The 12,590-nt window shown below is 43.5% G+C and overlaps 1 long non-coding RNA gene across 1 annotated transcript in view, besides 1 other annotated feature; it reads right to left on the minus strand.

The window, feature by feature from the left end:
- The window catches only part of LOC101928517 (uncharacterized), a 29,044-nt gene that overhangs the window by 1,713 nt on the left and 14,741 nt on the right, over window positions 1-12,590 (minus strand). The window contains exons 2-3 of the long non-coding RNA NR_110732.1: window positions 10,586-10,638; window positions 1,711-1,838 (exon numbers count right to left, since the gene is read on the minus strand). This is a non-coding gene — a long non-coding RNA (uncharacterized LOC101928517). The remainder of the gene's footprint in view (window positions 1-1,710; window positions 1,839-10,585; window positions 10,639-12,590) is intronic.
- Window positions 2,910-3,108: a silencer, noted in NCBI's record as "fragment chr19:51660802-51661000 (GRCh37/hg19 assembly coordinates)". NCBI's record gives its function as "represses an EF-1alpha promoter that drives an FKBP-Casp9 reporter gene in an ReSE screen in HepG2 liver carcinoma cells {active_cell/tissue: HepG2}" and the evidence as "EXISTENCE:reporter gene assay evidence [ECO:0000049][PMID:32094911]".

Raw genomic sequence — 12,590 nt, forward strand, 5'->3', positions numbered from 1 at the left:
TTTCACACTGTTATGTCATGCCATAAGACGTGCCATCAACTCTGGAAATTAGGTTAGTTATTATTACCCCTGGGGGCAGGGAGAGCAGCTTGTTTATCTTTTGTTATTAGAGGCCCAAGAATCAAGCCAAGAGCTTGGTGAAATTTGTGGGGAGTAGAGATTTGTCATGGTCATGGAGCTATGACAAAATCCCGTCCCATCCCTGCATCTTTCTAATTCCTCATCTTGGAGGGAGCTGAGGGGAACAGTTGAGGCCACAGGCTGTGGGTTCGGCCTGCCCGGGCTTGAATCCCACCTCTTCTGTGGGTTAGCACTGAAGCCTTAAATAAAATACTCAAACTCCATGGGGCTTAGTTTTCTCACCTGTAAAGTGGAGGTGAGGCTAATCACATTCACTTTCTCCATAGAGAGACAGTGAGGGTCAAGCAGGTTAGAATGGTGGTGGGCACATGGTAAGTGCACAGCTAATGTCCACCACTCTTATCCCCCTTATCCCCCTGTGACTCACCCTGACTCTGATCTGAGGACTCCAGAGGATTCATAGAGGAGGCATCTTTGGACCCAGACCTGAGAGGACTGGGAGATTTCACCCAGAGGTTGTGAGCATGTCATGGCAGGGTGGAGGTGGCACTCCTGAGGGTGGGCACTGCCTAGCAGGGCATGGAGGCAGGGAGATGTGCAGAGCATGAGCCTGGACGGGAGCTGCTGCACTCACGGGGGGCCTGGATCCTGACGTCCATGTACATGATCAGCTGTGTCACGGGGTTTTCCACAGTGCATTGGTAAGTGCCCATCTGCTACCAGGCCAGACTCAAGAGATACAACTTTGCATATGAGAAGTTTAGGAAGGAGCTGTTGTGGATCCAGCAGTACTTGAGATCTGGGAAAGAATAGGAGACACACTCCATTTCCACCTGGGAGCCGATCTCAGCCGTCACGATGCCATTGAAGGCATCAGGATTGCCCCTCAGCAGCAGATAGTCAGGCCCATCTGCAGAGACAGGGAAGGAGGCCTGAGGCTGTGTTTCTGACCCTTTGGGGTCCTGGGTACCACCTCATGAGGTCCTCCTCCAGCCAAGAGGTTCCCCACTGTGCACCCTGAGCTGACCCCTAGACCTGCCCCAGGCAAGGCAGCTGTGCCAACAACAATAACCATAATAAGAGCACCTGCCATGATCAGGGACCTACTAGGGGCCAGCCCCATGGTAGCCCTTTACCTCGTAATAAAATCATTGGAGTAAAAGCAAACACATGGGGCCTACTGTGTGCCAGACACTGTTCTAAGCTCTGTGCCTGTCCCCACATTTGTTGAATTCCCAGAACAACTCATGTGATTGGTTCCACTATTGATCCATTTTATAGATGGAAAACAATGAGGCTCGGAGGAGAGGATTAGGACTTCATGACTGCAACTGACACAGAAGGATTGAGCCAGTCTCAGGGCCTGGGGGCAACCGCCCTGAGCAGCTGAAGCCTCTGGATCCTGGGTCTTGGTTCCAAGCCTCTGACCTGTAAACAGCTGTATGGAGATCAGAAATCCTTCACGCTTCAACCCCAGCTTCCACACAATGGGCGCCATAGCCTGTGCATTAGGAAATCTAACACACCACTAAAGTGTTTCCAGAAGGAGATGTAAAGGTGATTTTAGAAGTGTGATTATTTTTTTCAGGTGAAAGATGTGGAAGAGTTTGATAAACTCTGTGAACACACCTGGAACACTGGAAGAATCTAAGTGTTGATGTATTTATAAGCTCAGTAGATTAGATTTCCAAGAGCTGTCCGAGAATTTGTGAGGATCTTGCTGGGTTGTGAACTTGCCCCAGTAGGCAGCTGAAGGGCTATAAAGAAAAAAGAATGTATGGAATGTATAACTGACTCTTTAAATCAAACTCTCTGTTTAAGGGAGCACAGTCTGTTCAATTTCAGTAAAAGAGAGTGACAGTGACTATAGTAAGTTTACAAGAAAAGAAGAAAGAAATCAATGAGTGGAATTTGAAGGGTCAAGGGGTTTGAACACTTAATAAACTGAACATCAATTTAAAAAATAATTGGTTTTAAGTAGTCCCCTATTTACACAAAAGCAGACCTCAGCAAAGGCACACTGACCATTTCTAATCTGAGAAGTGAGGACTGGGGTCCCTATTTCACATTTGAGTGCATCAGTTCTGAGTAGTGAGGGCAGCTCCCAAGTCCACAGAGCTCAAGAGCTGGAGCTGATTCCAACCCAGACCAACCTGGCTGCAGGCTGGCCCAGGATGTCTCTGGCCTAGTCCCATTTGCAGATCCGTGGTGAGTCCCAGAGGTGGACTTGTGTGGCAAAGAGCTGAACCCTGCCAAAAAGAGGCCTGGCCTTTGCTCTCAGCTACTGGGAGGGAACCTCTAAGTCCCTGGAATGTCTCACCTGATTAGAGTGTCTTTGTTTACCTGAAAGCCTTGGACTTCACCAAATAGTCTAATAATATAACTAACGATAGGACTTTGGGTCACTGGTATCAGCTCTATCTGTGGAGCAGCTGAAACTAAGGTCAGCCATGTAGACAGTTATCCACATCTATGTGACAAAGCCACACCAGGACATCAAGGCTCAGGTGAGTGTCCCTGGTTGGCAATGCTCTATGCATGTTGTCACATGTCATGTCAGGAGGAATTACCACAGTCTATGATTCTACTGGGAGGGGACAACTGGAAACTCCCCATTCGGAATTCCCTGGACCCTGCCCCATGCTCTTCTCACCTTGGCTGACTTTAATCTGTATCCTTTTGCTGTAATGAGACATCACATGAGGATAACAGCTTTCAGTGAGTTCTGAGTCCTACTAGTGAACTATCAAAACTGAATGTGGTCAGGGACTCCCCAATGTGCAGCTGGCATCAGAAGTGAGGGCAGTCTTGTGAATTGCTCCCTAACTACTCAGGACTGCTGGATTAAAGGCTGTGCAGGTCGTTTGAGGATAGAAAGGATTCCTGGCAACACTGCCTGGTTTGAACCAAGCACTGCCACTTACTTCCCATGTGATCTCAGTTAAGTTGCCTCCCTCCCCTAAGCCTCTTTCTACACCTGTAAAATGAAGATATGAAATGTTTCCTCTTCATAGGGCTGTTGTGATGCTTAACTTCAGAAGCAAGTGGAGAACGTAAAACGTGGAATCCTTCTTAGCTAGGCTCTTGTGTCTGAGGTCCTTATTACTAAGGAAAAAGAGGGAATGAATACTGAGAAGAAACCAGCAACCACGGCCACAGAGAGCATCTCATCAGCTCTATTTGGCTGCACCAACATGGAGCACTCCTTTTAGACACAGCATTGTGCCAAGTCCCTGCAGAAACATGTCCCTCCCTCCATCTAGACTGTGCACGGCCAGTGATGCCTGGTCTGAACAGTCAGGATGAATATGGCAGAAGTGGCTTCATTCAGACAGAGTCCGTGGCATGACCCTGACTGTCTCATGCAATGAGACCCTCATGAGGACCCTGCTCTCAGGAGGGGGGTGTAGGCTTGGAGGGCACCTCGACCTTCAGGGACTCACTTTCATTCTCTCAAGCAAACCCCAGAACTATACCTGGCCCATCTCATCCAGGATCCCCCATGACTTTGAGAATCTTGTCTGAAACCCTGTCTCTCCAGTCAGGAGTGGTAGCACCCAGTGCTCACCTAGGGGCAGGAGGCAGCTTCGGGAGCAGCCCCCCAAAGCCTTTAATCTCTTTCTGGAGCTCAGCTTTGTACCTTCTTATCAAGAGAGCAAAACGTCACAGTTCCTCCCAGGGCAAAGTTTTGCCTGGCACAGCCAGAGTGGACACTAATGAACAGTGACTCCTTCCTGTCTTTCAGGCTTGAAGATCACAAGGAATGTTAACCTGGGATCTTTGAGGAGCTATACACAAGGTAGATTTCTGACAGGTCCCTACCCGCGTCCTTGCAGCGCTGTGTGAGCAAACCCCATCACCCCCAAATGCATCACACCACCAGGGGGAGCCATGGAGTTGCACGATGCATCAGCACTAATCTTTGTCTACAACCTCCTGGGGGAAGGGATAAGAAGTGGATAGAAAAGGTGAGAGGCAGGAGCCCCGAATCAGCTTCCAGAGAAGATGGAAGTGAAATGGAGAAATAATAATAATGACATTAACAATAGCAATAACATTACTAATAACATTAAATAATAACTACTTCCTGTAGTTATCATTCCTGTTCGGTGAGATTGTAAATCTTGACATAGGTTAGTCTCTGAATGGGTGGGAGTCAGGTGTCAGGAAGCATTTGGGGGTCAAAGAGGGTGGAGAAGATTGGTGCAGTGATCCCTGCAACTCTCTGGGTGAGCAGCAGGGGGCGCCCTAACCATGGCAGAGACTGTTGAGTTGGTTGCACAGACATAACCAAGTGTCATGGGGCAGTGGGAAGTCCATGGACTCTGTCTCAGAAGGAGAATTACTTGATCTCTGTGTGCCTCAGTGTCCTTATCTGCAAAGTGGACATCAGAGCTCCTACCTTTATGAGCCTGAGAACAAAAACCAGGGAGAATAAATGAACAACCACAGCAGCAACAACAAACAAAAACAAGAGCCAAAACCAAGTAGCGAGATGGGCCTTTCTATCATCTGACCCTGAAATCCAGTCACATTTAAAACCAGGTCTACCCCTCAGATTTCCCAGACAACAGAAGTCAATGCATTTTTTCCCTTTGAAAGTGAAAAACAAACAAACAAACAAAAAACATGCTGTAATATTGGAGGGAAACAATTATGGGGTTTTTTTGTGTTTTTTTTTTTTTTGAGATGGAGTCTTTGTCGCCCAGGCTGGAGTGCAGTGGTGTGATCTCGGCTCACTGCAAGCTCTGCCTCCTGGGTTCACACCATTCTGCCTCAGCCTCCCGAGTAGCTGGGACTACAGGTGCCCGCCACCACACCCAGCTAATTTTTTTGTATTTTTAGTAGAGACGGGGTTTCACCATGTTAGCCAGGATGGTCTCAATCTCCTGACCTCATGATCTGCCCGCCTTGGCCTCCCAAAGTGCTGGGATTACAGGCATGAGCCACCGTGCCCAACTACAACTATGATTTTTATATGAACATTAATTCCATTATGTGGTTCCTTGAGGTTGCCTGATGTACACATTGTGGGAAAGGCCATGAGAGCTGCTACACAGCCCTTTGGAGATGGCGATCATGAAGCCAGCAAATGGTCAAGGGCTGTGAGTCTTCAAAAATCTGTCCTGATAAGTGATGATGTCATCTCCACATGCAAACCTGTCTCCAGAGAAGACACAATCCCATCCACTCAATGCTGCCGATCCTCCTAAACAATTCAAATGGGCTTTTTGCCCAGCAAGAAAGGGATTTTTGTATGTACATTCATGTTCTCTTTCTTATTCATCAGAAGTTATTTTTCTACGCACCTCACATTCTCAATGATAACTAAGAGAAATTCCTTGTTTGATTAACTCACACTCTATACCGGAACATTTGTGCATCTCACAACGGTTCCCTTAGAGCCCACCTTTCCTTTTGAGTTTAAACCTTCCTTGGAGTAATCAGAATAACTTCCAAATAGGAAAGAATGAAAGAGACTATGTTTATTCATTTTGTACACTCTTAAAACATAAATTGTATTTTTGCTAGCTGCAGCTAAGACTTTTATTTTAAAATGGGGCACTAACTTTCCTTCCTCCTACATTAAAACATTTCAGAAAAAAACTTAAAATCTTAAAAATAATTTTAAATACTGGGATAAATTTCTTTAAACATAAATTTCCAATACTTTCTAAAAAAGGTCATATCTATTTCAGAACTCTAATATCACCAGAACCCCAGAGAACATCCCCCAAATTTTTAGGCATAAAAATTCTCTTGTTTTTCAGCAGACACTTGATCAGTTTACCTGCATCCATAACCTTGGATATGGATTCATATGTCAGAGTCTATAAGCTGGAACATTAAATACAAAATTGAAATGATTTATTTTCTTCTAGCTGTTCCAAAAATAAAGCATACAAAAACTTTAAAGTCACAAATGTAAACTATTGTCAGAACAGAATGTTAAACATTTTTTCATTATTAGACATCATTATTAAATACAAATAAGTGATGAATAATATAGAAAATAATACTTATTGTTTAAGAGGCATATATGTGTGATGGAAATAAAAAGTCTGCATTCATTTAAGTTAGGTTACATTTATTTGTGGACACAAACAGGCCCACGTATGAGAGGAGAGAAAGGCAGAGGAGGGGAGCAGAGGGGAGGATGGTGCAGACTGGGTGGGCCCTGCTGGCCACACAGGAACCTGGAGCCTTTAGGCAGAGCAGAGACTAGACTGGACTTTCACTCTAACAGAACCCCTCGGCTTCCCTGGACAGAACAGGCCCAAGTGGGTCATGGCAGCCACATAGAAACTGGAAAGGTGCTTGCTGGGTCCTCCAGGAAGAGGGATAGGGGCTTGAACCAGGGAGGCAGGGGTGGCGTAAGGATATGCTTTTGGATGTGTGTGGAAGGTCGTGCTCACAGAGTTTTCTAATGGATGTGGTCAGCGAGGGGAAGGCAAGACCAAGGATGAAGCCAGAATGTTCCCCTGAGCACCTGGAGGGAAGGAGCGGTGTCCATAGAGGACTTCAGAGGGGAGGCTTTCAGGGGCGATAATTCTGAGAATCTCCCTTACATCCAAATGGGAACAGAACAGAGACAGCTGAATGCAAATGCCTGGAGTTCAGGAGAGGGGTCCAAGCTGAAGATGTTTCAATGCACAGCTGGAGTAGTGATGACCACAGATGAGGTAAGGAAGGGGTGAAGACAGGCAGAGAGGAGGACACACATTTGTCATTGGTGCTTTCATGACAACATATGTTATCTTCAATCTTTTTGATAATAGTCACCCTAACAGGTATGAGGTGATGTCTCATTGTGGTTTTGATTTGCATTTCCCTGATGACTGGTGATGTTGATCATTTTTTCTCTGCCTGTTGACCATTTCTGTGTCTTTGGGGAACTCGCCATTCAAGTCCATCATGCCTTTTCAAATCAGATTATTTGTTTTCTTGCTGTTGAACTCAACTTGTTTGAGTTCCTTATATATTCTGAATATTAACCTTTTACCACATGTGTGGTTTGCAAATATCTCCTCCCTTTCCATAAGTAGTCTGTTCACTCTTTTGTGATTGTTTCTTTTGCCATGCAGAAACAAACTAAAACAACTTTTTAGTTTGATGAAATTCCATTTATCTATTATTGCCTTTGTTGCCTGTGGTTTGGTGGTGTTAACTTAAACATCACACAATTACCAATTTGGAAGAAAGAGCTTTATTTCTTATAAAGGATTACAGCCTGCAAGGTGGCCATCCAGACAGGCTGGGAAGCAGAGCCTGCAGAAGAGGCTCAGAGACAAGCACTTTAAGGGAGGGAGGAGAAAGACAGGAATTTAAGCTGAATGGGCTGGCCAAGTATACATATTCAACAGGTTACAGAAGGAGCTTTGAATATTCATGAAAGGGTTTTGACCCAAGCATATTGAACAAACACGCATGTTACATGTAATCCATGTTCACCTTAGGGTAGAGACTTACCATGTAAACGTATTACAATTAGGCCCTATATGTCAAAAGGTCTTTGGAGGACACAGCAGCCCTCAAGCGCGCAGCCTCTGTAAAACCTGCCATAACCAGTCCATGCTCCATGTTCTTATCAAGAGAAAGTTACTGAAATCAGTCTTTTGTCCAGTCACAAGGGTGTGGGGTCAGTGTCTGCTGGTGAGCTGTATATTGTTTTAATATTACTTATATTGAGACCAGTGCTTGCTTAGCTACCAGAGAAAAATAAACATATTGTGGCAGTTAGAACATAGTTTATTCTCTAAGTGTGGGGGTGTGTAATTTAACCCCTGCCTGGCATGGCCTTAGGTTTTGTATATGATTTGGTATCTCATTGCCACAGAGTCTGTTCTGCCAGTCTTATGATCTCCATTTCCATATTAAGGTTAATCAGTTGCTGCATCTCAACTGCAAAAGGAAGGGGCTATAATGAGGTGTGTCTGACCTCTCGTCCCATTGTAGCAGCAACTCAGTTTTTAAGATTTTTCTGGGGTCCCCTTGGCCAAGAGGGGGTCTGTTCAGTTGATTACAGGGCTTAGGATTTTATTTTTAGTTTACAGTATCTAAAAAAATCTGAGCCCAGATAATGTCAAGAAGCTTTTTCTCCTGTTTTCTTCAAGGAGTTTTACAGTTTCAGGCCTTACATTTCCATCTTTAATCCATATTGAGTTGATTTTGTTTACGTCTGAGATAACTGGCAATGGCAGCTTTGATGAACATGTGTGAAAGGGTGGGGGACTTGATTGGAAGCTCGTTTGGAAAATAACCGAAGAAAGGAAGGTAGGAAGAGTGACGACAAACAACCTCTTGAGGAGTTTTGCTGCAAATGTTACCCACCCTTGGAGGGGTGAGTTGGCCCTAGTGGGTCCTTTCTCTGCCCCCTGCCACTTACGCCAATAGAATGAGACCAGAATCGGCAAAGCGGAGAAGAAACTTTATTCATTGATCAAGAAATGGAGAAAGGGAGTTCATGTGCAAAGCACCTTCTCCCAGGGGTTGGTAAAAGGGGATCTTAAGGGCCCTTAGGGCAGGTAGTTGGAGACTGAGGCGGGCAGATCTGGAAAAAGGTGGGTTCCTTCAGGAGGGGCTGAAGTGTGCACACTCTTGTGTTTTCTTTTGTACTTGGCACCTTCTGTGCCTAGCAAGGCATAGTTCTCGCCCCTGAGTGGAGATTTTAGTATGGTAATGAAGCAAGAAATCAGGTCAAGGCCTGCACTGAGGCAGGAATCCAGGTCCAGGCAGCACGTCTGGGCTGAACTCATCCCCTGGCTGGTTCCTGTTGCTGGCTCCCAGCCTTTGTTTCTGGCAGCAAGCAGAGCTGCAAGCACAGGTTAGTTTCACAGGTTTTGGGGCTTCCTGAGAGAACTGAGGTCATGTTGCAGAAACACAAAAAGGAACAGAGAAATGGATCTGGAGAAGAAGAATTTTTCTCAGTTCTTACCCACAATCTCCCAGAGGTGCTCAAATTCATAGACAAAGAAAGTAGAAAGTTGGTTGCCATGGGTTGGGGGCAGGATGGGATAGGAAGTTATCATTTAGTTGGTATAGAGTTTCAATTTGGCAAGATGAAGAAATTTCTGGAGATCAATGATTAATAATTGCATAAGAGTGTGAATGTACTTAGTGCCACTTACCTGTGCACTGAAAAATGGTTAAAATTGTAATTTTTTAATGTATATTTTAACACAAATTTTAAAAAGCACTAAATATTTGATCAGCCTCCTCGCCAAATAAGAAAAACTGATGGCAAATAATCACATGAAAGCATTCTCAACACCATTTGCTGCTACGAAATCACAGATTAGAACCAGAATGAGGTAGCAGTACATACCTATTAGAATGGCTACAAAACAAAACCCAAAGAAATTTTTTTTTAAATCCGGATAATACCAAATGTTAATGAAAACGTAGAGCAACCAGAACTCATATATTCTGCTGGTGGGAATGTAAAATGGTACACCCACTTTGGAGAACAGTTTGGCAATTTCTTATAAATTCGAACTTACACATATGACCAAGCACCCGACTCCTAGGTATTTACCCAAGAGAAATAAAAAAACTAGTGTCCACACACAGAAATCTGCATGTGAATATTTATACTAGTTTTACTTTACAGTCACCAAAACCTAAAAACAATATGAATGTTCACCAGCCAGTAAATGTATACAAAATGGGGATCTATGAAAACAGTGAGGTATGAGTCAGCAATTTAAAAACAACACCCCATCACATGGACGAGCCCCAAATGCATTAAACCAAGTGAATGAATCCAGATTTTAAAGGCTACATTTTGAATGATTCCGTTTATATGACATTCTTTAAAAGGCATATCAGTAGGGTAGAGAATAGATTAGTGTTTTTACAGGAATTAAATAGGGAGGGACAGTTGCCTACCAAGGAACATCAGGAGGGAATGTTTTAAGTAATGGCACTTGGTAGTGTCTTGACTGTGGTTGTGGGTATATAGCTACATACATCTGTCAAACCTCAAATAATTGCATATGAGAAATACTCAGTTGATGAAATTGATGGTACCTAAATTCAAAATACACTAGAGATGACACTACGCTCTCACTAGAATTGTTAAAATATAAAGACTGACAATACCAAGTGTTAATAAAGGTGTACAGCTACCGGAATTCTGGTGCATGGCTGGGAGTAGTGGTAAAAGTCAAAGCCATTTGGATAACGATTCTGCAATTCCTACAAAAATTAAATATGCAGGTATTATTTGAACTAAAAATTCCACATCTTGTGTATAAATGAGTATAAAAACATGTCTATAAAAAGACTTCTACTTGGATACCTATAGAAAAAACCTGGAAAATCTTAAACGTCTATCAATAGGTGAGTAAATAAAAGATAATACTACTTAGCAATAACACATTGTGAACTACAGGCATATACAACAGCTTGGCTCAGTTTCAAAAAATGATTGCTGAGTGACAGAATACAGACACAATTTTTTAGTATATTTCTAGGAAATTCTCAAGTAGACAAACTAACTCACCATGACAGCGGGTATATTGATGATTTCCCAGCATACGCGATGGGAATGGTGAGCTGCAAAGAAACATGGAAAACCATTAGAGTGGAAGAAGTGTTGTGTATCTTGACTGTGGCAGTCACAGCGGGGCTGCATACACTTATCAAAACTCACTGAAATGAACATTTCAGGTGTGTGCATTTTATTTCATGTAAATTATGCCTAATAAAGTTCACTAAATACATCCAGTGAAATTCACATCTTCATATTTAACATTCTGACCCATAAATACAATATAATTTGCTTTACTATTAAGACCAAATTATTGCATTCCTATTATGTGCTACATTCTTATTTTTAGAAGAACTTACAAGGTATTATGTTACTTATTAAAGACTCAATTCCTTATATATTAAGAATGCAAATGGCTGTCTACATTAGCAAGGACAAATGAACATTTACCTAGATAATACTGTTACAAAGATTTTACTAATATATGGTACCAAATATTATTATGCCCTGGATTTTGAGGATTTGCCAGATGAGATGGAAAATCATGTCACTGAACCTAAAATTATTTTTATCTATAAACAGAATGGGCCAGGACATTTAGTTGTGTGCTTGTCAGGAAGGTGATAGCTGGGTACAGTCAAATCTGTGCCACAGGATCTAGGAAGGCAGATTTCCAAATCTCACATAAGAGATCAGCACGATCACATTGTCTGAGATTTTTTTTTTTTTTTTTTTTTTTTTTTTTTTTGAGACAGAATCTAGCTCTGTTGCCCAGGCTGGAGTGCGTTGGTGTGATCTCGGCTCACTGCAAGCTCTGCCTCCCGGGTTCATGCCATTCTCCTGCCTCAGCTTCCTGAGTAGCTGGGACTACAGGTGCCCGCCACCACACCCGGCTAATTTTTTTGTATTTTCAGTAGAGACAGGGTTTCACTGTGTTAGCCAGGATGGTCTCGATCTCCTGACCTCGTGATCCACCCGCCTCAGCCTCCCAAAGTGCTGGAATTACAGGCTTGAGCCACAGCGCCTGGCCTGTCTGAGACTTCTGACAAACAAGAGGGAGCAAGAGGGTTAGGAAACCTGTGAAAAACTAAATTCCAACAAGACAATTAATGCCCAAACAAGCAACTCACGAAAGACAAATAGTCATAAACATAAAAACTAAGCCTGAAATTTTAATTTTGTCTGTATATTCCCCTCATATTATCGGAAAATATTGTCTTTGGGCCACATGTAACTGTGAGAAGCACATTTTTTCATGAAAGGAAATGCTAATCTCTATGATGAGGACCTTAAAAAAATCGCTCCTGCCCACACTACACTGAGAGGCAGCATTAACCGAAAAGGAGTTTCTTCTACACTGGTTCATAGAACATGTGTCCTTCTTTATGTTTTACGTGAAGATGCTGCATGGTTCTTATTTTGGAGGTGTCATTGAAACTGCAAATCTGTATACTATTTATCAGGGAAAAATTCTATAGTCACATTTCTTTAAAAATACCCAATATGCTACCATGACACATGGCAAACTCATCAGTGTCCGCAGCTCTAAAGCCAGACAGTGTGTGTGTGCTAAGGACATGAGGCTATGGATAGGGACCATCTCAAGGGTAGGGGCCAGGTCAGTGCTATCTCTTCTTCTCTCCATCCCCACCTACATACAGATGCTCACTATATATTTGGTGAATGAATGAATGGCTGTCACCTTCACTGCACCTAGGACCACTCTTCATTTTTTCAGTCCCAGACACTCCCATAGACCCTACAGAATCCTACATCCTGCAGGATCGACTATCTCATGGCTCAAGATGAGGCTGTGACTGTCTGGGGCCAGAAGTGACCAGTTCCCAGACGTAAACAATGGTTCACAGAAAAACACTTCAGAGTGAGAGGGTTTTAGACACAGGTGTCCCATGCTTCAGATGTCCCCAGAGGTCCTGGTCCAGGCTCTGGCATTGGACGGAAGACCCGAGGTGGGAGGCAGGAAGTGGTCTCTGCTCCTTCTCTGCTCCCCTCTGGG

This window comes from Homo sapiens, chromosome 19 (assembly GCF_000001405.40).
Source record: "Homo sapiens chromosome 19, GRCh38.p14 Primary Assembly".
NCBI classification, from domain to species: domain Eukaryota; kingdom Metazoa; phylum Chordata; class Mammalia; order Primates; family Hominidae; genus Homo; species Homo sapiens.